The sequence below is a fragment of the Homo sapiens genome, chromosome X (assembly GCF_000001405.40).
Source record: "Homo sapiens chromosome X, GRCh38.p14 Primary Assembly".
Classification (NCBI taxonomy): domain Eukaryota; kingdom Metazoa; phylum Chordata; class Mammalia; order Primates; family Hominidae; genus Homo; species Homo sapiens.
Window position 1 is genome coordinate 129154892 of NC_000023.11, and position 25608 is coordinate 129180499.

General features: G+C 36.8%; 1 long non-coding RNA gene across 1 annotated transcript in view; it reads right to left on the bottom strand.

The window, feature by feature from the left end:
* LOC124905213 (uncharacterized) overlaps positions 1–25608 on the bottom strand; it is a 275363-nt gene that overhangs the window by 243822 nt on the left and 5933 nt on the right. The window contains exons 2-3 of the long non-coding RNA XR_007068324.1: positions 24866–25162; positions 14427–14560 (exon numbers count right to left, since the gene is read on the bottom strand). This is a non-coding gene — a long non-coding RNA (uncharacterized LOC124905213). The remainder of the gene's footprint in view (positions 1–14426; positions 14561–24865; positions 25163–25608) is intronic.

Consider the following 25608-nt stretch of genomic DNA (forward strand, 5'->3'; position numbering starts at 1 on the left):
TAAACTGATTTATACCCTGAGGAGTTATACACAAATGGCACAATCAAATAAAATAAAGGAAGACACATGTGCACAAGTTTGCATGTGTCTATATGTGTTTATAGACACATCTTTCAACTACATTTGACTGTGCTTCTGTTAGAAGTGCCAGGTTCTACCCACATCCCAGCCTACTGGCTTCAATCAGAAAGGCAGAATTAACAACACAACAATTTGGAAGGGTTTATTGCCCATTATTTGATCTAAAACAACTTGAACAGTATGAAAAAGTGAGGCTCTAACACAAAAAGGGAGATTAGTCACGTAGCCACTTTGCTGGCCCCCCTGTTGTGTTTCAACTGTGGGCTGCATTTATTTTTCCCATCCTAAAATCAAGTTTCTTAAAAGCTTGCCATGCATTTTAATGCAATTGCTTGCATTTCCCCTTTGGGAAGGAAGAAAACAAGACTTTCCTTATTGCTGAGCTGGAAATGTGTATGTATACATTTGGGGGTGGAGGGGTGAGGGAACAAGGCATAATAAGAGAAGGAAATGGTTGGCTTCTTAAACCTCATAATCCCAACCCTAACTACACACAGATCTCCCAGATTCAGTAGTGGCAGGTGGCAGACACGTACTCACCCATAAGCAATGGAGACAAATTAGAAGCATACAATAAATAAGCCTTTGAATTTGTAAAGCCTTTTATGCTTTATAAATTTTATCACAGTTGATCTTCATCCTACCCTTGCATGGTAGAAAGGGCAGGAATTGTTTTCTCCTTTACTTGACAAAAGAAGAAACCAAGATGAAGAAAGCTTGAGTGACTTGCCTAAGATCTCACAAATAAGGTGATATACTTTTAAATCACTTTTATTGAGATATAATTCACTACCATAAAATTCACCTTTTTAATTTTTTTTTTTTTGAAACAGAGTCTCTGTCTCCCAGGTTGGAGTGCAGTGGTACAATCTTGGCTCACTGCAACCTCCACCTCCAGGGTTCAAGCGATACCCCTGCCTCAGCATCCTGAGTAGCTGGGACTACAGGCTCCTGCCACAATGCCTGGCTAATTTTTTGTATTTTTAGTAGAGATGGGGTTTTGCCATGTTGGCCGGGCTGGTCTGAAACTCCTGGGTTCAAGTGATCCGCCCACCTCAGCCTCCCAAAGTGCTGGGATTACAGGTGTGAGCCACCGCAACTGGCCAAATTCACCATTTGAAGTGTATGCGTTAGTGTTTTTGCACAAGCTTGTGAAGGCATCACTGCTGTCTAATTCCAGAACATTTTTATTACCCCCTACAAAAGAATTCCATATCCATTAGCAGTTACTCCCCACCTCTTTACTCCTCCCAGGCCCTAGAAAACAATAACCTCTGTTTCTGTAAATTTATGCTCTGGACATTTTATATAAATGTAATCATACAATACGTAGTCTTTTGTGTTTGGTTTCTTTCATTTTGCATAAGTTTTCAAGGTTCATCCATGTTTTAACATTCATCATGTTTTTCTATGGCCAAACAATATTCCATTGTATACATACAGCACATTTTATCTATCCATTCATTGTTGGACATTTGAATTGTTTCCAGCTTTGTGGCTATTATGACTAATGCTGCTATGAACATTCAGGTACATGTTTTTGTGTGAACATGGACTTGCATTTATCTTGGGTTTACACCTAGGAGTGGAATTTCTGGGTCATATGGTAATGCTATATTCAATTTTTTGAGGAACTTTCTTTATTTTTATTATACTTTAAGTTTTAGGGTACATGTGCACAACGTGCAGGTTAGTTACATAAGTATACATGTGCCATGTTGGTGTGCTGCACCCACTAACTCGTCATTTAACATTAGGTGCATCTCCTAATGCTATCCCTCCCCCCTCTCCCTACCCCACAACAGTCCCCAGAGTGTGATGTTCCCCTTCCTGTGTCCATGTGTTCTCCTTGTTCGATTGCCACCTATGAGTGAGAACATGTGGTGTTTGGTTTTTTGTCCTTGCGATAGTTTGCTGAGAATGACGGTTTCCAGCTTCATCCATGTCCCTACAAAGGACATGAACTCATCATTTTTATGGCTGCATAGTATTCCATGGTGTATATGTGCCACATTTTCTTAATCCAGTCTATTATTGTTGGACATTTGGCTTGGTTCCAAGTCTTTGCTATTGTGAATAGTGCCGCAATAAACATACGTGTGCATGTGTCTTTATAGCAGCGTGATTTATAATCCTTTGGGTATATACCCAGTAATGGGATGGCTGGGTCAAATGGTATTTCTAGTTCTAGATCCCTGAGGAATCGTCACACTGACTTCCACAATGGTTGAACCAGTTCACAGTCCCACCAACAGTGTAAAAGTGTTCCTATTTCTCCACATCCTCTCCAGCACCTGTTGTTTCCTGACTTTTTAATGATTGCCATTCTAACTGGTGTGAGATGGTATCTCATTGTGGTTTTGATTTGCATTTCTCTGATGGCCAGTGATGATGAGCATTTTTTCATGTGTCTTTTGGCTGCATAAATGTCTTCTTTTGAGAAGTGTCTGTTCATGTCCTTTGCCCGCTTTTTGATGGGGTTGTTTGTTTTTTTCTTGTAAATTTGTTTGAGTTCATTGTAGATTCTGGATATTAGCCCTTTGTCAGATAAGTAAATTGCAAAAATTTTCTCCCATTCTGTAGGTTGCCTGTTCACTCTGATGGTAGTTTCTTTTGCTGTGCAGAAGCTCTTTAGTTTAATTAGATCCCATTTGTCAGTTTTGGCTTTTGCTGCCAATGCTTTTGGTGTTTTAGACATGAAGTCCTTGCCCACGCCTATGTCCTGAATGGTAATGCCTAGGTTTTCTTCTAGGGTTTTTATGGTTTTAGGTCTAACATTTAAGTCTTTAATCCATCTTGAATTAATTTTTGTGTAAGGTGTAAGGAAGGGATCCAGTTTCAGCCTTCTACATATGGCTAGCCAGTTTTCCCAGAACCATTTATTAAATAGGGAATCCTTTCCCCATTGCTTGTTTTTCTCAGGTTTGTCAAAGATCAGATGGTTGTAGATATGCGGCATTATTTCTGAGGGCTCTGTTCTGTTCCATTGGTCTACATCTCTGTTTTCGTACCGGTACCATGCTGTTTTGGTTACTGTAGCCTTGTAGTATAGTTTGAAGTCAGGTAGCGTGATGCCTCCAGCTTTGTTCTTTTGGCTTAGGATTGACTTGGCGATGCGGGCTCTTTTTTGGTTCTATATGAACTTTAAAGTAGTTTTTTCCAATTCTGTGAAGAAAGTCTTTGGTAGCTTGATGGGGATGGCATTGAATCTATAAATTACCTTAGGCAGTATGGCCATTTTCACAATAATGATTCTTCCTACCCATGAGCATGGAATGTTCTTCCATTTGTTTGTATCCTCTTTTATCTCATTGAGCAGTGGTTTGTAGTTCTCCTTGAAGAGGTCCTTCGCATCCCTTGTAAGTTGGATTCCTAGGTATTTTATTCTCTTTGAAGCAATTGTGAATGGGAGTTTACTCATGATTTGGCTCTCCGTTTGTCTGTTATTGATGTATAAGAATGCTTGTGATTTTTGCACATTGATTTTGTATCCTGAGACTTTGCTGAAGTTGCCTATCAGCTTAAGGAGATTTTGGGCTGAGATGATGGGGTTGTCCAGATATACAATCATGTCATCTGCAAACGGGGACAATTTGACTTCCTCTTTTCCTAATTGAACACCCTTTATTTCAAGCTGTTTTCCAAAATGGCTGCACCATTTCACATTCCCACCCTGGAATGATTGAGAATTCCAATATCTTCAAATCCTCACCAACACTTGTTAGTATCTGCCTCTTTTACTATAGCCACCTAGTGGACATGAAGCAATTTCTCATTGTGGTCTTACATTGCATTACCTTGACCGCTAATGATGTTGAGCATCTTTTCATGTGCTTCTTAGCCATTTGTATATCTTCTTTGGGGAAATGTTTATTCAAATTCATTGCCAATTTTTAAATTGGATTTTTTTTATTGTTGAACAGTAAGAGTACTTATGTATTCAGTATACAAATCCCTTATCAGATATATGATTTGCAAATATCTTCTTCCATTCTGTGGGTTGTTTTTTCACTTTCTTGATGGTACTCTTGAAGCACAAAAGTTTTCTTTCTTAATTTCAATGAAGTACAATTTATCTCTCTCTCTCTCTCTCTCTCTCTCTCAGTTGCCTTTGCTTTTGTTGTCATATCTAAAAAACCTCTACCTAACCCAAGGTCATGAATATTTGCCCTTATGTTTTCTCATAAATACGTATAGTTTTAAGTGTTAACTTTAGGTATTTAATTCATTTTGAGTTAATATTTGCATATGGTGTTTGGGAGGGAAACAACCTCACTCTTTTGCATGAGGATATCCAGTTGTGTCAGCACCATTTTTAAAAATAATGTTATTTTCCCTATTAAATTCTCTTGGCATCCTTGTTGAATATCAATTGACCATAAATGTGTGGGTTTATTTCTGGACTCTCAGTTCTATTCCATTGACCCACATGTCTATCCCTTTGCCAATATCACACTGTCGTGATTACTATAGCCTTGTGCTTAGTTTTGATATCAGAAAATGTGAGCCCTTCAACTTTGTTCTTTTTCATGGTTATTTTTGCTATTGTAGGTCCCTTAAATTTTTATATGAAGTTAATGATCAGCTTGTCAATTACTGCAAAGAAGCCATCTGGGATTTTTTAGGGATCACATTGTATCTATCAATCAGTTTGGAGGGTATTGCCATCTTAACAATATTAAGTCTTCTGATCCATGAACATAGGATGTTTATCCATTTATTTAGGTCTACTTTAATTTCTTTTAATGACGGTTTGTAGTGTTTAGTATGCAAATTTTTCACTTCTTTTGTTAGATTTATTTGTAAGTGTTTTATTCTCTTTCATTCTATTGCAAATTGAACTGTTTTCTTAATTTCATTTTTGTATTATTTACTATTGGTGCTTAGAAATATAATTTTTTTATATTAACCTTGTATCCTGCAACCTTGCTGAACCTGTTTAATATTTCCAATAGACTTTGTGGATGCCTCAGAATTTTCTATATAGAAAATTACATCATCTGCAAGGGGAGATACTTTTACTCCTTCCTTCCAATCTGTATGCTATTTATTTCTTTGCCTTGCCTAATTACCCTGGCTAGAGCCACCAATACAGTGTGGAATAGAAATTTTGACAGTGGACCACCTTGTCTTATTCTTGATCTTAAGGGTAAAGCATCCTGTTTTCGCCATTAAGCATAATGTTAAATGTTATTTGTGGATTTTTCAAAGATGATCTTTATCAGGTTGAGGAAGTTCCCTTCTAATTCTAGTTTGGCAGAAAGTATATTGAAGACAAAGTAGAAATCAGGATGTGCTTTCTGCTAATACACACTGTCTTCTCACTTTTTTCTGTCCCTGTCGCCTGCTTTAAGAACAGATTGAGATACAAATTTTGGGGACTTTAGTTGAATACAGCAAACTGTGGACCAAATATCTAGATAGACAGACAGACACACACACAGACAGCTAGATAGATACACACACACACAATTAAATAAGCAAAGATAAAATGAACTTGATTCCAAATAAGGTTTCGCTTTCTGAAACAGGATGATTTTAGAGCCCCTGCCTGAACTTATTTTCGTTACAGCTCAGGTGGACAACACTAGATAGAAACTACACCAGGTCCTTTGAAGCAGAATAAACTGATACCAAGCAGACACAATCATCAAGGATTCCGACCCAGCATAGAGCCTAACTTTAGATTCTGGGTTCAGAGAGCATACCTTTATGACAGACAGCAAAGCAATCACAGGATAATGGTCTTGACGTTCAATGAAGACATCTCTTGAGCCAGGATTCAGGTTGTAATTCTAATACTAGGGGAAGTGAGGACTACACAGTAGTATTAGACAGTATAACCAGAATTTTGTGAATGATGGCTAACCTAATTCCAAGCTTCACAAAACTTTTTAGGGGTGTTCAGGAGGTGCAGGAAGACACCACTAATAAATACCTTGACTTTGACAGAATTTACTCAGGACTATAACAATCATGATAAAGCCATAGACCCAATTAGGGAGATCTGGGAGAGACAGAGAAAAGTGGCTAATAATCTTTACATATTTCAAAGAAATTGTCATTGAGAAAATAGTTTATCCTGGCTCCACGGCTTTCAATAAATGTTTCCAGATATCCAAATATTCCTCTTTGCCTTATTAGGCACATCTCCCTTCTGCTCATATCTCTTGATTACCTCCCACTGTTAATTCTCAACCTAAATAATATATACTCTACTCCAGCCCCCACCTCACATTTATATGCCCAACAGTTGTCAAATTGGGGAAAAAAAAAAGGGTTTGAGCCTTGCTGACAAGTAAAAACCTATTCAGTAAAGTGAAACATTGCACCAGCAGAGGGCCAAGGGGCCTTCTGAGTTGCTGTTGGTCATTGGGTTCCACCCTAATGGAACTCTCAGTACTTAAATACATCCTATATTGACATGGTAGTCTCATTTCTTTCACAGGTTTAAGAAAGAACTCTAGGGTTAAAGAATCAATATATAAGAATATTTTGAAAAGATCAAGACTATCAGCAGATCCAGAATAGAACCAAGTATATACTGCAACAGAGAGTATTATTAATCTCCATGGCCAAACACACTCTGCAAAGGTACAGTTAGCACCACAGAAGTAAAGCATTTCCTGATATGCAAAGGACTGGAAGAAATTGTTTAAAGGTCATTTTGTTGCCTAGGAAGCACTGGGAAAATGAAGAGAAAAAAATGTGATATAAGAAAATATTAACAAAATACCAAAAGCATGAATTTCATTTAACAAAATGAATTTTTAATATGTTGCAAGTAAACTGAACTGAAAACCAAACTCTACTTTCTTCACTTAACTTTTCAAGACATTTTATCTTCATTTTGGATGGAACTTCTATGGGCATTTGATCCTAATTTTTTTTTTTTTTTTTGATATGGAGTTTCACTCTTTGTTGCCCAGGCTAGAGTACAGTGGCGTGATCTCGGCTCACTGTAACCTCCGCCTCCTGGGTTCAAGCGATTCTCCTGTCTCAGCCTCCTGAGTAGCTGGGATTACAGGCACACCCCACCACACCTGGCTAATTTTTGTATTTTTAGTAGAGACGGGGTTTCACCATGTTTGCAAGGCTGGTCTCGAACTCCTGACCTCAGGCAGTCTGCCTGCCTCTGCCTCCCAAAGTGCTGGGATTACAGGTGTGAGACACCATGCCCAGCCTATCCCAACATTTTTGTTCTAAAGTTTGGTGTCTCCTTTGGTCATTTTCTCAAGTATTTATGGTCTCACAAAAAACACTTAAGTATGTTAAGGAAGCTCTACACTTAAAATAGCCCAGCACTGAATCCTTTGGTAAACCAGATCATCACTTTATCATGGGAATAATCTATCCCTAATTTATGCATCCCCTCTGGTTGGATTAGTATAGTATAGTTTCTTAAAGGAGTACCAATCTAAGTGAGTGTAATAACCAAAGCAATAGCATGGGGTCCTGAAAGCAGTCTCTTTTTGAGGCACCCTAACCAAACACAGAGGTAGAAATCCACGGACCAGACTTTTCCATCCCTGCCCCAACATTAAGACCTTGCTGATCCCATGTCACTGTTACTCAGGATTCTACTCTTTGTTGGAGTACATAGGAAACAATGGATTTGATAATCAGATTAAACCAACCCTTAATGATATATTGGTAGAATATTATATACCATAACGTTTTCACCCAGTTTAAATGCATTTTTCCTTGAGAAGGGCCTTATGGTGAGATACTGATAATGCCAGTCTCAGGAAGGCTGATCAGGGAACACCCTTTAGATTGAAGAAGGACTTCTGATGCCCTTAACATTACACATCAATTCTACCTAATTTATAAAGCAAATCCTGCTCACAGATTGCAGTGTTTCCCCAAAGTTAGTTATCCATATGTACCTCCACAATTTTTTCCATATTCATGAATTGCCAATTGTATTAGTCCATTCTCACACTGCTAAAGACACATCAAAGACTGGGTAATTTATAAAGGAGAGAGGTTTAATTGACTCACAGTTCAGCATGGCTGGGGAGGCCTCAGGAAACTCACAATCATGGTGGAAGGAGAAGCAAACACATCCTTCTTCACTTGGCATCAGGAAGGAGAAAAATGAGTGTGCAGCGAAGGGGGAAGACCCTTATAAAACCATCAGATCTTATGAGAACTAACTCACTATCACAAGAGCAGGATGGGGGAAACTGCCCCCATAAATCAATTATTTCCACCTGGTCTCTCCCACAACACATGGGGATTATGGGAACTACAATTCAAGATGAGATTTGGGTGAGGACACAGCCAAACTCTATCACCAGTACTGTAAGTTTCCATGTGCAGATTGAGTATCCCTTATCCAGAATGCTTGGGACCAGAGGGTTTCAGATTTTTATTTTTTTTCAGGTCTTGGAATATTTAGAGATACATAATGAGATATCTTGGGAATAAAACCCAAGTCTAAACACAAAATTTATTTATGTTTCCTATATGCCTTATATACAAAGCCTGAAAGTAATTTTATGCAATATTCTTTAAAATTTCATGCATGAAACATAGTTTGTGTACATGAGATCAGATGTGGAATTTTACACTTGTGGCATCATGTCAGCACTCAAAAAGTTTCGGATTTTAGAGCATTTCAAATTTTACATTTTTGGATTAGGGATTTTTAATCTGTATTACATTTCAGTAGTACTATTATTTATTCAATATTTTATTTAAATTAACTTTTAACTTTTATTTAAATATCTACTTTAGCCTAGTTATGTGCCATAATATCTATAAAATTATGGATATTTGTGCTATATATATTTTTATAATATACATTAAAATAAATCTGTAAATATTGAAATAAATATGTTCATCTATGTGTTACCTAAAAGAATTTATTGTGCTACTAGTGGCACACATATCACACTTTGGCAAACACGTACTAGTCCAGCCCCATCATTTTGAAGATCATGAGATTCATCAAAGATAAAAAATATGCAAATACTAAAAAATGTATACAATTCAAAAAGATCTTGAGGATGGTTTCTCCAAGCCCAGCATTAGAAACAATGACACTGTATAACCAGGCACAGTGATATTCTATGGCAAAATATCAGCAACGATTAGCTAGGCATCTCTGAAGGCTCTAGCACACCAGACTCTGAGGGTTGGTTAAGCATGTCCAGTGTCAACTCAAACCCCAACTCATATAATAAAGTTTACATTAAAAGTCAAGGTTTTGATAAATGTCACACTTGGAAGCCAACTAAACGGGCTGAAAGGAAGACACAATTTCCCATTGTCTAATTGGCTTGCAGCACCTTCAAGGTAATAAATTTGTCACATTGAATTATTAATGAGAAATGAATATTTGACTGCTGCCTTGAATAGAAAATAGTTCATTATTAGGTAGCATTGTTCCTTCCAAATAATGAGTCTGGCACTAGGGGAGTTTAGGTACAATGTGACTGAAAATTGTATTTTTCTTCATCACTATATTTCCCATACCATACAATTCTTTAAAAAAAAATCTTATGAGCATTTTATGAGCAGAAATAATATCTTTTATTTAGAGCTTAATTTTGCATTAGTTTTTGTGATCATAGACTTCATAGGTTTCCCCAATATTTTCAAATATTTAAACATATGCTTGTGATTACGAAAAAGAGTTCCCTAGAGCTGTATTATTATTTAATCAATATTTTCTTTAAATCAATCCACTTGTTTACTTTTTATACTTGCTAAGCCATAATATCCATTAAATCATGGGTTGATATATGGGTTGCAATGCTTTTCAACTTTGTATCAAACTAAACACATGAATCCTAAAAATATAAAATATTGGGCTGTTGGCCTGTGTACTGTATATAAATGTCATCTACATACTTGGGGGTGACACTATACATACCACATTTTTGAAACACTGCATTAAATAATATGTACTAAAGTGGGTTTCATAAGAAAATAAGGGAGGAAGAAAGTACATAATCTACAAAATCAAAATTTCAAAAACATCCTTTTAGGGAAAGACCTGGAGTCCTACTTAATCTTTTACTTTTTTATTAATAAGTCCACTACAACCACCCCCTCCACTCTATCAAACCCCATTTTATGCTTATTTAAAGCCATGCCTGCTCTTCCCTCTTAAGGCCTTTCCTGATTACCTCTATCAATTCTGATCTTGTTGTCCTCTGAAATCCGGTAACATTTTCCATTCCTCTTAATGCCTTTATCATATTCTGATATCAGCTGTAGTTATGTTTACACCAGACCTACTCCTTTCATCAGACATTGTATCCCTTGAGGTGCCAGCATGGTACTTTATACACAATAGGTGCTTAATAAACATTAATTGAGTTGGAAGAGTATCACACAAACTAGGATACTTTGCCAAGTCTAACTAACTTTATGGACCTTTGTTTATTGAGAACCTTGAATGGTCATTACCTGAGCACCAACTCTCAGTGTGCAGACATAGATAATGATGATAAAGTTATAGGAGATTTGAGTGAACATATAGAGACTGTATATCATGTGCTGGATGCCGAGAGCCTCATTTCAGCTTCTGTTATAAGCAGCATAGGGTGGCTTATCGCAATGCTCTTTCCATAAGGCTGCCTAGTGGGACAACGTATCTTGTTTGATGGGTTCAGCAAGTAACAATTAGATTTTTTTTTACATAGGCCACATTTCTTGATCGTGTCTGTGCAGTGTTCATTATGCTCACTCCCTTGACATCAATACATCAATTTTAAAGAGCATCCAATGCTTTACAGGGTATTATGGAAAGCCCTCTTTGAGTAATGCAGTTTTTTTTATTGTCCCTGATTATGTACAGCTCTTCCATGGAAAATAGGATATCATATTTTCTGAATATTTGTTCTTCTTATCCTCCCTCAGCCTGGACTCTTAAACCTAAGGTCCATACGTAGAAAAAAAATGGTATGTATCTAGAATAATCAGGCCCAGTTATGATCTAAGAATTTTTAAGCATTCACAATCAGGAAAGCTATTTCATGCTCTTTTTCCTCCCTAAGCTAAAGGGCTGAAGAAGTCATATATAATAAGTACCATTTACTCTACAAGCAGACACGCTAAACCCACTCTAGCAGATGGACAGTGCTAAGATGATATTTATTCTTCCCCAGTGAAGGTGGAATATGAGTTGTGGAATTGGTACCTGCATACAGGTATACAGAAGGACACTTTGCCAAAATATTCATCACTGCTCTTTTCCCCATTATAGGCACTAGTGAATTATTTTTTTCTACCGATTTATTTTTATATTTGGTAAAATATTGAGACCTGTTATAATTAAAATTATATATAGATAGAATGAACATGAACTGTTGAAAACCAGAGTAATGGAACTGATGTTTCATAGTAAAGAAAGAGAAGATAGAGCTATTTGCAGAAGAAAATATATATTAGTAATAGGTAAAGTAGTTGTGCACAATTCTGAGCATCCTGGCAGCCAAATGCAAGAGTAATACGGAATAAATTATGCAATATTTATTATCTAATAACAAGGAGAATCAGAAAAACTAACTGTCCTAGCACTAAACTCTAAGAATTATTTGGATGAAAAACTTTGAAAAAAAAATAAACAGCATAATTTATCAAATATTTGCTTATCTAGGGGCCTGAAAATCAAAAACAAATAAGACTCAATCACTGACTTTAAGGTACAAACAGCCAAATTAGTGGAGTATACATGTGTGTGTGTACATATGTATGTGTACATATAGATATGATTCAGTGTCTTTGAAGTGAGTTCCTAAAGGAAGGGTTCCGAAGAAAAATTCTCTTACTGTTTATTTTTGGCTAGAGCCAGTGAGGGACAAGGCCTTCAAAGCGTGGTTCCCAACAAGCAGCATCTGTATCACCTGAACTTGTTCAAGGTAATTTATAGATTCAATGCCATCCCCATCAAGCTACCAATGACTTTCTTCACAGAATTGGAAAAAACTACTTTAAAGTTCATATGGAACCAAAAAAGAGCCCGCATCGCCAAGTCAATCCTAAGCCAAAAGAACAAAGCTGGAGGCATCACGCTACCTGACTTCAAACTATACTACAAGGCTACAGTAACCAAAACAGCATGGTACTGGTACCAAAACAGAGATATAGATCAATGGAACAGAACAGAGCCCTCAGAAATAATGCCGCATATCTACAACTATCTGATCTTTGACAAACCTGACAAAAACAAGCAATGGGGAAAGGATTCCCTATTTAATAAATGGTGCTGGGAAAACTGGCTAGCCATATGTAGAAAGCTGAAACTGGATCCCTTCCTTACACCTTACACAAAAATTAATTCAAGATGGATTAAAGACTTAAACGTTAGTCCTAAAACCATAAAAACCCTAGAAGAAAACCTAGGCATTACCATTCAGGACATAGGCATGGGCAAGGACTTCATGTCTAAAACACCAAAAGCAATGGCAACAAAAGCCAAAATTGACAAATGGGATCTAATTAAACTAAAGAGCTTCTGCACAGCAAAAGAAACTACCATCAGAGTGAACAGGCAACCTACAGAATGGGAGAAAATTTTCACAACCTACTTATCTGACAAAGGGCTAATATCCAGAATCTACAATGAACTCAAACAAATTTACAAGAAAAAAACAAACAACCCCATCAAAAAGCGGGCAAAGGACATGAACAGACACTTCTCAAAAGAAGACATTTATGCAGCCAAAAGACACATGAAAAAATGCTCATCATCACTGGCCATCAGAGAAATGCAAATCAAAACCACAATGAGATACCATCTCACACCAGTTAGAATGGCGATCATTAAAAAGTCAGGAAACAACAGGTGCTGGAGAGGATGTGGAGAAATAGGAACACTTTTACACTGTTGGTGGGACTGTAAACTAGTTCAACCATTGTGGAAGTCAGTGTGGCGATTCCTCAGGGATCTAGAACTAGAAATACCATTTGACCCAGCCATCCCATTACTGGGTATATACCCAAAGGACTATAAATCTTGCTGCTATAAAGACACATGCACACGTATGTTTATTGCGGCACTATTCACAATAGCAAAGACTTGGAACCAAGCCAAATGTCCAACAATGATAGACTGGATTAAGAAAATGTGGCACATATACACCATGGAATACTATGCAGCCATAAAAAACGATGAGTTCATGTCCTTTGTAGGGACATGGATGAAATTGGAAATCATCATTATCAGTAAACTATCGCAAGGACAAAAAACCAAACACCGCATGTTCTCACTCATACTTGGGAATTGAACAATGAGAACACATGAACACAGGAAGGGGAACATCACACTCTGGGGACTGTTGTGGGGTGGGGGGAGGGGGGAGGGATAGCATTAGGAGATATACCTAATGCTAGATGACGAGTTAATGGGTGCAGCACACCAGCATGGCGCATGTATACATATGTAACTAATCTGCACATTGTGCACATGTACCCTAAAACTTAAAGTATAATAATAAAATATAAAAAAAAGAAATGAAAAATTTTAGAGCCCACTCTGTTACAGTAGGTAGCTAGCCAGGCATGAGTGGGGCAAGAGAGGACTCCCCCAACCCCACCGAGAATGTGACGACCATCAGGTTATGGTCAGGCAATTGTCACACTGTCTCTCTAAAATAATAATTGGTCGCATCCAGCACTAGGGAAGGTTTCCAAATAGAAACACCTGAAACTGGTGATCAGCAGCTTCCCAATAAGATCTCAGAAGTTGGGCAAGTGGGCTCAAGCATGCACATTAAGAGGCCAACTGGCAGAGTTTAGCTTGTATATGACCTTCTGGGGGCATTCCACTGGAAAAGGGAAGAATCCCTCAGGTGAGCACGCCTAAAACTCTAGTAAACATACTAGAGTAGGTGTGCATACTCTCCTCCCAAGTGCTAGCAGGCCATTGAACATGCAGGCAGCTCACTTCAAGGGAAGAATGAAGGGAATAAGGACACAAGACATAGGAAGTATGCCTGCATATAAAACCCTAAGTCCAAGGTCAAACAGGGCACTTATTCTCCAAGATGCCTGCTTGGCCCTCTTCCAAGTGTACTTTACTTTCTTTTCATTCCTGCTCTGAAGCTTTTTAATGAACTTTCACTGTGGCTCTAAAGCTTGCCTGGGTCTCTTCTTCTGCCTTATGCCCCTCTGTTGAATAGTTTCTTCTTAGGAGGCAAGAACTGAGGTTGCTGCAGACTCATATGGATTCACCACCAGTAACTCAGAAAACTTCCACCGCTAACAACTCCTGACTTAGTCAACCAGAAATTCTGGAGCTAGAACCTGGCAATCTGTGTTTCAACAAGCCCTCCGGGGGATTCTGACACACCCTAACATTTGAGGTCCACTGGCTTAGTAATACTCACCCCTAATCTTTGTCTCATGTATCCATCACTGGGATCCAGGTCTTGATATCTTTCTCATGAGCTGGAGACCCAGGTTGCCTAGATGTTCAGACATATTTGGCCTTTCAATCCCTACTCCTCTTCCAGAATGCTTCCTAAAGCACAGGAAAAAAGACATAGCCATAGTCTAAAACAAATTTCCCAAAGCCCACTCTATACTTCACACATATCAAGCTTTCAGAATTACCTGGGGTAGTAAATCCAAATCCAAAAATTTATTGATATGTTTTGAAGATAAACGTATAGCTGGAGATCAAATGGTGTAAATGATTCTAGCAGTAGTATAACAAATTTTGGGATTTCTTTAGACTGAAATAACTGTCAAACAAATTGTTCTATAAATGAAGGCCACAGAAATATAATAATATCATGTTTCATTCAACCAGAGATCACTTTTCCATAAACTTCATCTAACTGCAATAACAGGGAAAAGGGGAAAATGAGCAAAAATAAAGCTAAATAAAATAACAAAAAAAAATAAGTTTCCAAGAAGCAAAACTGGATGTCACAATGTCTATCCTCTAATCTGATTTACTCATACAGTAATTTCTTAAACTGATATTCAGATGCAATTTTTATTCTAGACATAGCTTTAACAATCATGGTTTAGTGATTTTTCTCAGCCCACAGTTAAGAAGGGGTGGAGAAGTTGTTTAGGGTTTGCCCATTACAACAGCAAGAAATTTACACCTGGGGGACAGAGAAAGCCAAGAAAGAGGAGATAAACTCCCCAATGTCAGCACAAATACATGTCGTGTCCCTCTACCACACATACAACTCTTTTCCATACAAATCTAAGTCAAATCACCAAAATTTGCCAATCATCTTCATGATCAACTTGCTAACTGACCAGTTCACTTACATTCTTTGTTTTTTTAACCTATTTAGTTTTAGTTAATTTTTTATTTTGTCTTCATAACAGCATTTTGAGAAATGTTCAATTTATTTCTGTCTCAGCTTCCTACTGCTACAACTGAAGAATGAGAGGCAGAAAAAGAGAACGAGACTGAAGGGATAGAGAAAGTGTTAAGATGGCAATAATCCTCAAACTGATAAACAGATTCAACATGATTCCTAGCAAATCCTAGCTGGTTTCTTTGTTGCAATTGACAAGCTGATCATAAAATTAATACAGAAATGCAAAGGACTATGTGTAGCCAAAATAATCTTGATAAAGAAGAATGTAACTTGGACCACTCAAACTTCTTGGTTTCAAAACATACTACAAAGCTACAGTAATTGAGACAGTGTGATACTGATATAAAGACAGGCATATAAATCAGTGGAACAGAATTTAAAGTCTAAAAAAATTATACATTGCAGTCAATTCATTTTCAACAATGGGGCCAAGATCATTCATTAGGGACAGAATAGCCTTTTCAACAAATGGTGCTGGTACTACTGGATATCCACATACACAAGAATGAAAGTATTCCTCTTCCAAATACCATACACAAATACTAAGTCAAAATGGATCCAATACCCAAATTTAACAATGACAACCATAAAATTCTTATGAGAAAAAATAAGAGTAAATCTTCATAACCTTGCATTAGACAGTGGTTTCTTAGATATGACACCAAAAGCACAAGCAACCAAAGAAAACCAGACAAATTTGACTTCATCAAAATTAAACACTTTCACACTTTAAAGAGCACCATCAAGAAAGTGAAAAGATTCTCTAGGAAGCAGACTCAAAGAAGAAAACAAAGAAAGTGAAAAGATAACCCACAAGATGGGTAAAAACGTTTACAAATCATATATCTAATAAAGGACTTATATCTAAAATATATAAATGACTGTTACAACTCAGTAACAAAAAGACAAAAACCCAATTAAAAATGGACAAATGATATGAATACTTATTCTTCCAAAGAAGATATACAAATGGCCAATAAGCACATAAAAATATGTTTAACATCATTGGTCATTAAGGAAATGCAAATCAAAATGACGATTGCTAATATGAAGATGACAGACAATAAAAAGCATTGGCAAGGATGTGGAGTAATTGCGATTTTTATAAATTGCTGGTTAGAATATCAAATAGTAAAATAATTTGGAAAACAATTTGGCATTTCCTCAAAATGTTAAACATGGACTTACCATATGACCTAGCAGTTCTACTCCTAGATATATACCCAAGAAAATTAAAAACATATGTCCACACAAAAAGATGTACATGAATGTTAACAACAGCAACATTCATAATGGCCAAGAAATGGAAACAACACAAATGTCCATCAACTGATTATTAAATAAATTGTGGTATATTCATACAATGCAATATTATTTGGCAATAAGAAGGAATGAAATATTGATATGTGCTACAATATTGAAATATTGATATGAACCTTAAAACATTATGTTAAGTGAAAGAAGCTAGTCACAAAAAGAAACATATTGTATGATTCTATTTATATGAAATTTTCATAATAGGCAAATCCATAAAAATAGAAAGCACATTAGTGGTTGCCCTGGGCTGGAGAGAGGAAAGAATGGGCATGACTGCTGATGGACGTGTAATTTTTTTTCTGTGACTAAAATATTCTGAATTTAAATAGTAATGATGGTTGTGCAACTCTGGGAATATATTAAAAATTACTGAATTTTACACTTAAAAAGGATGAATTTTATGGTGTGTGAAGTATTTTATGATATGGTACAGTACCTCATAAAGCTGTGTTTTTAAACAAGCTGATTATTTAGAAACTCATATAATATTCTCAATAGTTGCCAAAGAAGCATGTTTAAAAGTTTGTACCAATTCATGGCCAAAAACTCTCAAAGCATTCTAGAAACAGAAGAGAACGTCCTTAAATTGAAGATTATTTATCAAAAACCAACAGTTAACATATTGATGTTAAAACACTAAAAAATTCCCATCAAAGATAAGGATCCATATTAATGCCTTTAATGTTCAAATTGTTCTGGAAGTCCTAGCTAAGACAATAAAAAAAGGAAAAAGATAAGGTTGACATGTTTAATTTTTTTTTTACTTTTTAAATTCTTTAATTTTTAATTTTGGTGGGTACAAAGCAGGTGTATATATTTATGAAGTACATGAGATATTTTGATACAGGCATGCAATGCATAATAATCACATCATAGAAGATGGGGTATTCATCCCTTCAAGCATTTGTCCTTTGTGTTACAAACAATCCAAATACACTCTTTTAGTTATTTTTAAATGTACAATTAAATTATTATTGACTATATTCATGCTGTTGTGCTGTCAAATACTAGGCCTTATTCATTCATTCTATTATTTTGTACCCATTAGCAATCCCCACCTCCCCCTCGCACCACTCCCCACCCCGCTACTATGCTTCCCAGCCTCTCGTAACCATGTTTCTACTCTTCATGTCCTTAAGTTCAATTATTTCAATTTTTAGATCCCACAAATAAGTGAGAATATATGATGCGTGTATTTCTATACCTGGCTTATATTTCACTTGACATAATGATCTCCAGTTCCATCCATGTTGCAAATGACTGGATCTCTTTCTCTTTTATGGCTGAATAGTACTCCATTGTGTATATGTACCACATTTTCTTTATTCGTTCATCTGTTGATAGACACCTAGGTTACTTCCAAATCTTAGCTATTATGAACAGAGCTGCAACAAACACGGTGTAGAGATATCTCTTTGATGTATGGATTTCCTTTTTGGGGAGTATATACCCAACAGAGGGATTGCTGGATCACATGGTAGCTCTATTTTTAGTTTTTTAAGGAACCTCCAAACTGTTCCCCATAGTGGTTGTACTAATTTGCATTCCCACCAACAGCGTATGAGGGTTCTCTTTTCTCCACATCCTCGTCAGCATTTTTCATTGTCTGTCTTTTGGATATAAGCCATTTAAACTGGATGATATCTTACTGTAGTTTTGATTTATCTGATGATCAGTGATGCTGATCACATTTTCATATGTCTGTTTGCCATTTGTATGTCTTCTTTGGAGAAATGTCTATTCAAATCTTTTCCCCACTTTTTAATCAGATTATTAGATTTTTTTCCTACAGAATTGTTTGGGCTTCTTATGTATTCTGGTTATTAATCCCTTGTTAGATGGGTAGTTTGGAAATATTTTCTCCCATTCTGTGGGTTGTCTCTTCATTTTGCGGATTGTTTACTTTTCTTTGCAGGAGCTTTTAAACTTGATATGAACCCATTTGCCCATTTTTGCTTTGGATGCCTGTGCTTATGGGGTATTACTGAAGAAATCTTTGCCCAAATCAATGTCCTGGAGATTTTCCCCAATGTTTTCTTGTAGTAGTTTCATAGTTTGAGGTCTTAGATTTAAGTCTTCAATCCATTTTGATTTGATTTTTGTATATGGTGAGAGATAGGAGTCTAGTTTCATTTTTCCTCATAGAGATATCCAGTTTTCCCAGCACCCTTTATTGAAGAGGCTGTCTTTTCCCCAGTGTATGTTCTCAGCACCTTTGTAGAAAATGGGTTCAATATAGATGTCCGGATTGGTTTCTGAGATCTCCAGTCTATTCCATTGGTCTATGTGTCTGTTTATGCTAGTACTATGCTGTTTTGGTAACTATAGCTCTGTAGTATATAATTTGAAGTCAGGTAATGTGATTCCTCTAGTTTTGTTCTTTTTGCTTAGGATAACTTTGGCTATTTTAGATCTTGTAGTTCCATATAAATTTTAGTATTTTTTTTCTATTTCTATGAAGAATGTCATTGGTATTTTGACAGGGATTGCATTGAATCTGTAGATTGCTTTGGGTAGTATGGACAATTTAACAATATTGATTCTTCCAATTCATAAACATGGAATATTTTTACATTTTTTGTATTACCTTCAATTTCTTTCCTCAATATTTTATAGTTTTCATTGTAGAGATCTTCCTTAGTTATTTCCCAGGTATTTAATTTTACCTGTAACTATTGCAAATGGGACAATTTTTTAAATTTCTGTTTCAGTTAGTTAACTGTTGACATATAGAAATGCTACTGAAAATCATATGTTAATTTTGTATCGTGCAACTTTTCTGAATTTGTTCATTAGTTCTCATAGGTTTTTTATGGCGTTTTTAGGTTTTTCCCAATATAAGATCATATCATCTGTTAACATGGATAATTTGATGTCATCCTTTCCAATTTGGATGTGCTTTATATCATTCTCTTGTCTGATTGCTCTAGCTGTGACTTCCAGTACTTTGTCTAATAACAGTAGTGACATTGGGCATCCTTGTCATGTTCCAGATCTTAGAAGAAAGGCTTTCAGTTTTTCCCCATTCAGTATGAGACTACCTGTGGGTCTGTCAGATATGGCTTTTATTATGTTGAGGTATGTTCCTTCTAAATCCAGTTGCTTGAGAGTTTTTATCATGAAGGGGTACTGAATTTTACCAAATGCTTTTTCAGCATCAATTGAAGTGATCATACAATTTTTGTCCTTCTTTCTGTTGATATGATGTATCACATGTGCAAATCATATGATTAATTTGCATATGTTGAACCATTCTTGCATCCCAGAGATAAATCCCACTTGGTCATGATGAATGATCTCTTTAATATTTTGTTGAAGTCAGTTTGCTAATATTTTGTTGAGGATTGTTGCATCAATAGTCACCAAGGATATTGACCTGTAGTTTCCTTTTCTTTTAAAGTGTCTTTGTCTGTTTTTGGTATCAGGGTAACACTGGCCTCATAGAATGAGTTTGTAAGTATTCCCTCCTCCTCTATTTGTTGGAACAGTTTGTGTAGGATCGATATTAATTTTTCTTTAAATGTTTGGTAGAATTCAGCAGTGAAGCCGTCGGGTCCCGGGCTTTTCTTTACTGGGAGAATTTTTATTATGACTTCATTCTTGTTACTTGCTATTAGTCTGTTCAGGTTTTGGATTTCTTCCTGATTCAATCTTGGTAAGTTTTGTGTGTCTAGGAATTTGTCCAATTCTTCTAAGTTTTGGCATATAGTTGTTCATACTAGCCACTAATGATCCTTTGAATTTCTGCGATATCAGTTGTAATGTCTCTTTTTTAATCTCTAATTTTATTTATTTGGATCTTCTCTCTTTTTTTCTTAGTCACTCTGGCTAAAAGTTTGTCTATTTTGTTTAACTTTTAAAAAACAACTTTTTGTTTCATTGATCTTTTGTATTATTTTCTTCATTCAATTGCATTCCTTTCTGCTCTTATCTTTATTATTTCTTTTTCCCTACTATTATGGACTTAATTTGCTCTTGCTTTTCTATTTCTTTAAGGTGCATTGTTAGGTTGCTTACTTGGAGTTTTTCATCTTTTTTAATGTAGACATAGAGCTATAAACTTCCCTTTTATTACTGCTTTTGTTGAATGCAATGGGTTTTGGTATGTTGTGTTTCCATTATCATTTGTTTCAAGAAATTTTTCAATTTCCTTAGTAATTTCTTCATTGACCACCACTGGTCATTCAGGAGCATATTGCTTAATTTCCATGTATTTGTATGGTTTCCAAAAATTCTCTTGGTATTGATTTCTAATTTTATTCCATTGTGGTCAGAAAGGATGCTTGATATTTTTTCAGTTTTTTTGAATGTTTTAAGATTTGTTTTGTGATCAACATATGGCCTATCCTTGAGAATGATCCATGTGCTGAGGAAAAGAATGTGTATTCTGTAGCTGTTGGATGAAATGTTCTGTAAATATCTATTGGATCCATTTGGTTTATAGTGCAGATTTAGTCTGATGTTTCTTTGTCGGTTTTCTGTCTAGAAGATCTGTTCAATGCCGAAAGTGGGGTGTTAAAGTGTCTAGCCTTTATTGTATTGGGGCCTATTTCTCTTTATAGCTCTAATCATATTTGCTTTATATATCTAGGTGCTCCAGTGATGCGTGAATATAAATTTAAAACTGTTGTATCCTCTTGCTGAATTGACCCCTTTATTATTATATAGTGACCTTTTTTGTCTCTTCTTATAGTTTGTCTCGAAATCTATTTTTTTCTGATATAGGTATAACTACTCTTGCTTTTGTTTTTTGTTTGTTGGTTGGTTGGTTTGTTTCCATTAGCATGGAATATCTTTTCCCATCTCTTTATTTTCAGTCTGTGTGTCTTTATAGGTGAAGTGTGTTTCTGGTAAGCAACAAGGCAATGGGTTTTTTACATCTATTCAGCCACTCTATGTCTTTTGGCTGGACAGTTTAGTCCATTTACATTTATATTATTCTTGATAAGTAAGAACTTACTCTGCCATTTTATTATTTGTTTTCAGGTTGTTTTGTGGCCTTATCTTCTTTCTTTCCTTCCTGTCTTCCTTTTAATGAAGGTGATTTTCTCTGATGGCATGATTTAGTTTCTTCCTTTTTATTTTTTGTGTATCTGTTGTATGTTTTTTTGGTTTGAGGTTACCATGAGGCTTACAAATATTATCTTATAATCTATTATTTTAAGCTTATAACAACTTAATACTTCTTGCATAAGCAAACAAGCAAAAAGAAAGCCAATAAAGACTACACCTTAACTTCATTCCCTGCTTTTTTAACTTTTTGTTGCTACTACTTACATCTTACTGTACTGTCCATGTCTTGACAAGTTGTTGTAGTTATTATCTTTGATTGCATCATCATTTAGTCTTTCTATTTAAGATAAGAGTAATTTACACACCACAGTTACAATGTTATAATATTCTGTGTTTTCTCTGTACTTTCTATTACTAGTCAGTTTTGTACATTCAGATGATTTCTTATTGCTCATTAATGTTCTTTTCTTTCTGGTTGATGTACTCTCTTTAGCATTTCTTGTATGACAGATCTAGTATTAATGAAATTTGTCATCTTTTGTTTGTCTGGGAAAGTCTTTATTTCTCCCTCATTTCTGAATGATAATTTTGCTGGATATACAATTATAGGGTAAAAGTTTATTTCCTTCAGCACTTTAAATTTAACATGCCACTATCTCCTGGCCTGTAAAATTTCCACTGAAAACTTTGCTGCCAGACATATTGGAACTCCATTGCATGTTATTTGCTTCTTTTCTCTTGTTGCTTTTAGGAATTTTTTTTCTTCAATCTTTGGGAGTTTGATTATTTAGTGTATTGAGGTAGTCTTATTTAGGTTAAATCTGTTTGGTGTTTTACAGCCTTCTTCAATATTGGTATCTTTCTCTAGGTTTGGAAAGCTCTCTGTTAGTGTCCTTTTGAATAAACTTTCTACCCTTATCTTTTTCTCTATCTCCTCTTTAAGGTCAATAACTCTTAGATTTACTTGTTCAAGGCTATTCTCTAGATCCTGTAGGCATGCTTCATTGTTTTTTATTATTTTTTCTTTTGTCTCCTCTGTGCACTTTCAAATAGCCTATCTTCAAGCTCCCTAATTCTTTCTTCCGACTGATCAATTCTGCTATTAAAAGACTCTGATGCATTGTTCAGTATGTCACTTGCATTTTTCAACTCTCTAATTTCTGTTTGATTCTTTTTAAGTATTTTAATCTCTTTGTTCCATTTATCTGATAGAATTATTAATTCTTTCTCTGTGTTATCTTGGATTTCATTGAGTTTCTTCGAAACAGGTATTGTGAATTCTCTGTCTGAAAGGTGACATATCTCTGTTTCTCCCACATTGGTCCCTGGTGCCTTATTTAGTTCATTTGGTGAGGTCATGTTTTCCTGGAGGGTGTTGATGCTAGTAAATGTTCTTCAGTGTTAGACAATGAGGAGTTAGGTATTTATTGTAGTCATTGCAGTCTGGGCTTGTTTGTACCTATCCTTCTTAAGAAGGCTTTCCAGGTATTTGAAAGGACTTGGTTGTTGTGATCTAATCTATATCTGCTTTAGAGGGGGCTCCAAGTTCAGTGGCACTGTGGTTCTTGCAGACTCAAAGAAGTACCGCCCTGATGGACTTAGACAAGATATGGAAAAATTCTCTGGATTGCAAGGCAGAGACTCTTGTTCTCTTTCCTTACTTTCTTTGAAACAAACAGAATCTCTCTCTCTGCTCTGAGCCACCTGGAGCCGGGGGTGGGGTACAACAAGTACTCCTGTTGCCACCACCCCTAGAATATTACTGGGTCAGACTTGAAGGCAGCACACCACTTGGGTCTTGCCCAAGTCCTGCAATAACCACTTGCTAGCTACCACCTATGTTTGCTCAAAGCCCTTGGGCTTTACAATCAGCAGGTGGCAAAGACAGCCAGGCCTATGTCTTTCCCTTAAGGGAGGTGAGTTCCTTCAGGTCCTGCATGGGTCCAGAGGTGCTGTCTGGGAGCTCAGGACTAGAATCAAAAACCTTAGAAGTTCACCTGGTGTTCTATTGAACTGTGGCTAAGCTTGTAATCAAATCACAAGATGCAGTCCTATCCACTCTTCCCTCCCCTTTCCAAAGGCAGAACTTCACCCTGTGGCCACCATCACTTCAGGCCCACAGGGTATACCACCAGATTACCATAGATATTCCCTTTAAGGCCTAAAAACTCTTTAGTCAGCTTGTGGTGAATGCAGCCTGGCCTGGATCTCAGCTTTCAAGGGAGTGGGCTCCCCTCTGGCCCAGGGCAGGTCCAGAAATGCTGTCCAAGAGCCAAGTATTGGAATCGGCGAACCCAAGCGTCCACTTGGTACTGTACCCCTCTCTGGCCGAGCTTGTACCAAAAATACAAAACTAAGTCCTCCTTACTTTTTTCTCTGCTTTTCTCAAGCAGAAGGAGTCTTGCCTTGTAGCCACCATAGCTGGGAATGTGCTGAGTCTCATCTTAAGTCAGCAAGTCTCAATGTCTCACCCAAGGCCCTTGGTGTAGTACCCGGGTACTACACCAGTGGTACTACAGCAGTGATAACTGCTGGTTATTCACGGTCCAAGAGCTCTTCAGTTAGCAGGTGATGAATCCTGCCATGACTGGGCACTTTGCTTCAAGGGAGCAGGTTCCCTTCCATCCCAGGGTGTATCTAGAAATATCTGGAAGCTGAGGCCTAGAAAGGGGGTCTCACAACTCTGACCAGTACCCTATTCTGCTGTGGCTGGGCCAGTATCTATGATGTAAGACAAAGTCTTCCCCACTCTTCTGTCTCCTCTCTTCCAGCAGAAGGAGGGGCTCCCTTTAGGATCTGTGAGCTGTGCAGCCTGGGGTTAAGGAAGGAAACGGACGATGCCAGAATCCCCTTAGCCACCCTGGCTGGTTGTGTGCCTCCCCGCAGTCCACTGTCTCTGGGTCCAGTGCAGCCCTAGGACTTGCCTAGGTGTTGCAGTCCTTGTGGCCTAGACTGCCTTTCAAGTTTATTTGGGGCTCCAGAGCACTTTAACCCATGGTAGCAATGCTTGCAAGAACTCAATTTCCAACTGCTGGAATCAGTGATTCTCCTCTGGCTAGGGCTGGTTTAATGCATCCTCTGTGGGCAGGTGTCAGTGGTATTTGGTCCAGTTTTGCTTTCTGGTACAGCAAGGGCAACACTGAGTTCCATACCTCACAACTGCTGGCTCTCCCTCTTTCCAGAGCACAGAAACACTCTGCAACACACTATCACAGCCAGAGGGATGTGGGAGGGGTGGCGTTGGCAATTCAAGGCTGTTTTTTTTCTACCTCTTCAGTTCCTCTTTCAGCAATATGAAGCAATATGAAGTAAAAACCAGGTACTATGAGTGTTCACCTCATTTTTGGTTCTTACAAAGTCGCTTTTTGTGTGTAGATAGTTGTTAAATTGGTGTCCCTGTGGGAAGATGATCAGTGGAACTTTCTATTGCATCTTGCTCCACATCCTCCCTAAAAGGAAATTTAAATCATTATTATTTGCAAATTATGAGCCCATGTAATTACAAAACACAAGAAATAATGACTAGGAACTTAATTGTGATACCTAAATAATTTGAGAGATATACTTTCTTCCTAAATGGGATGCGAAGCAAGAGAATGCTCATACCTACTAGTGGGACTTTAAATTGGTATGATTTATTTGGAAAACTGACAGTATGTGTTAAATTTGAATATATACATATTCTTATCACTTAGCAATTCCACTCCTATGTGTATACCTAACAGAAACAAAATACATTTACAAGAATGTTCATAGAAGCATAAATTTTAATAGGCAAAACCTGCAAACAACCCAAATATCTATCAAGATTATTAAGGATAAATTATGGACATTACAATGATAAAAATGAATACATGACTGTTCCATGAAACACTGTGGATGAATCTCACAAGCA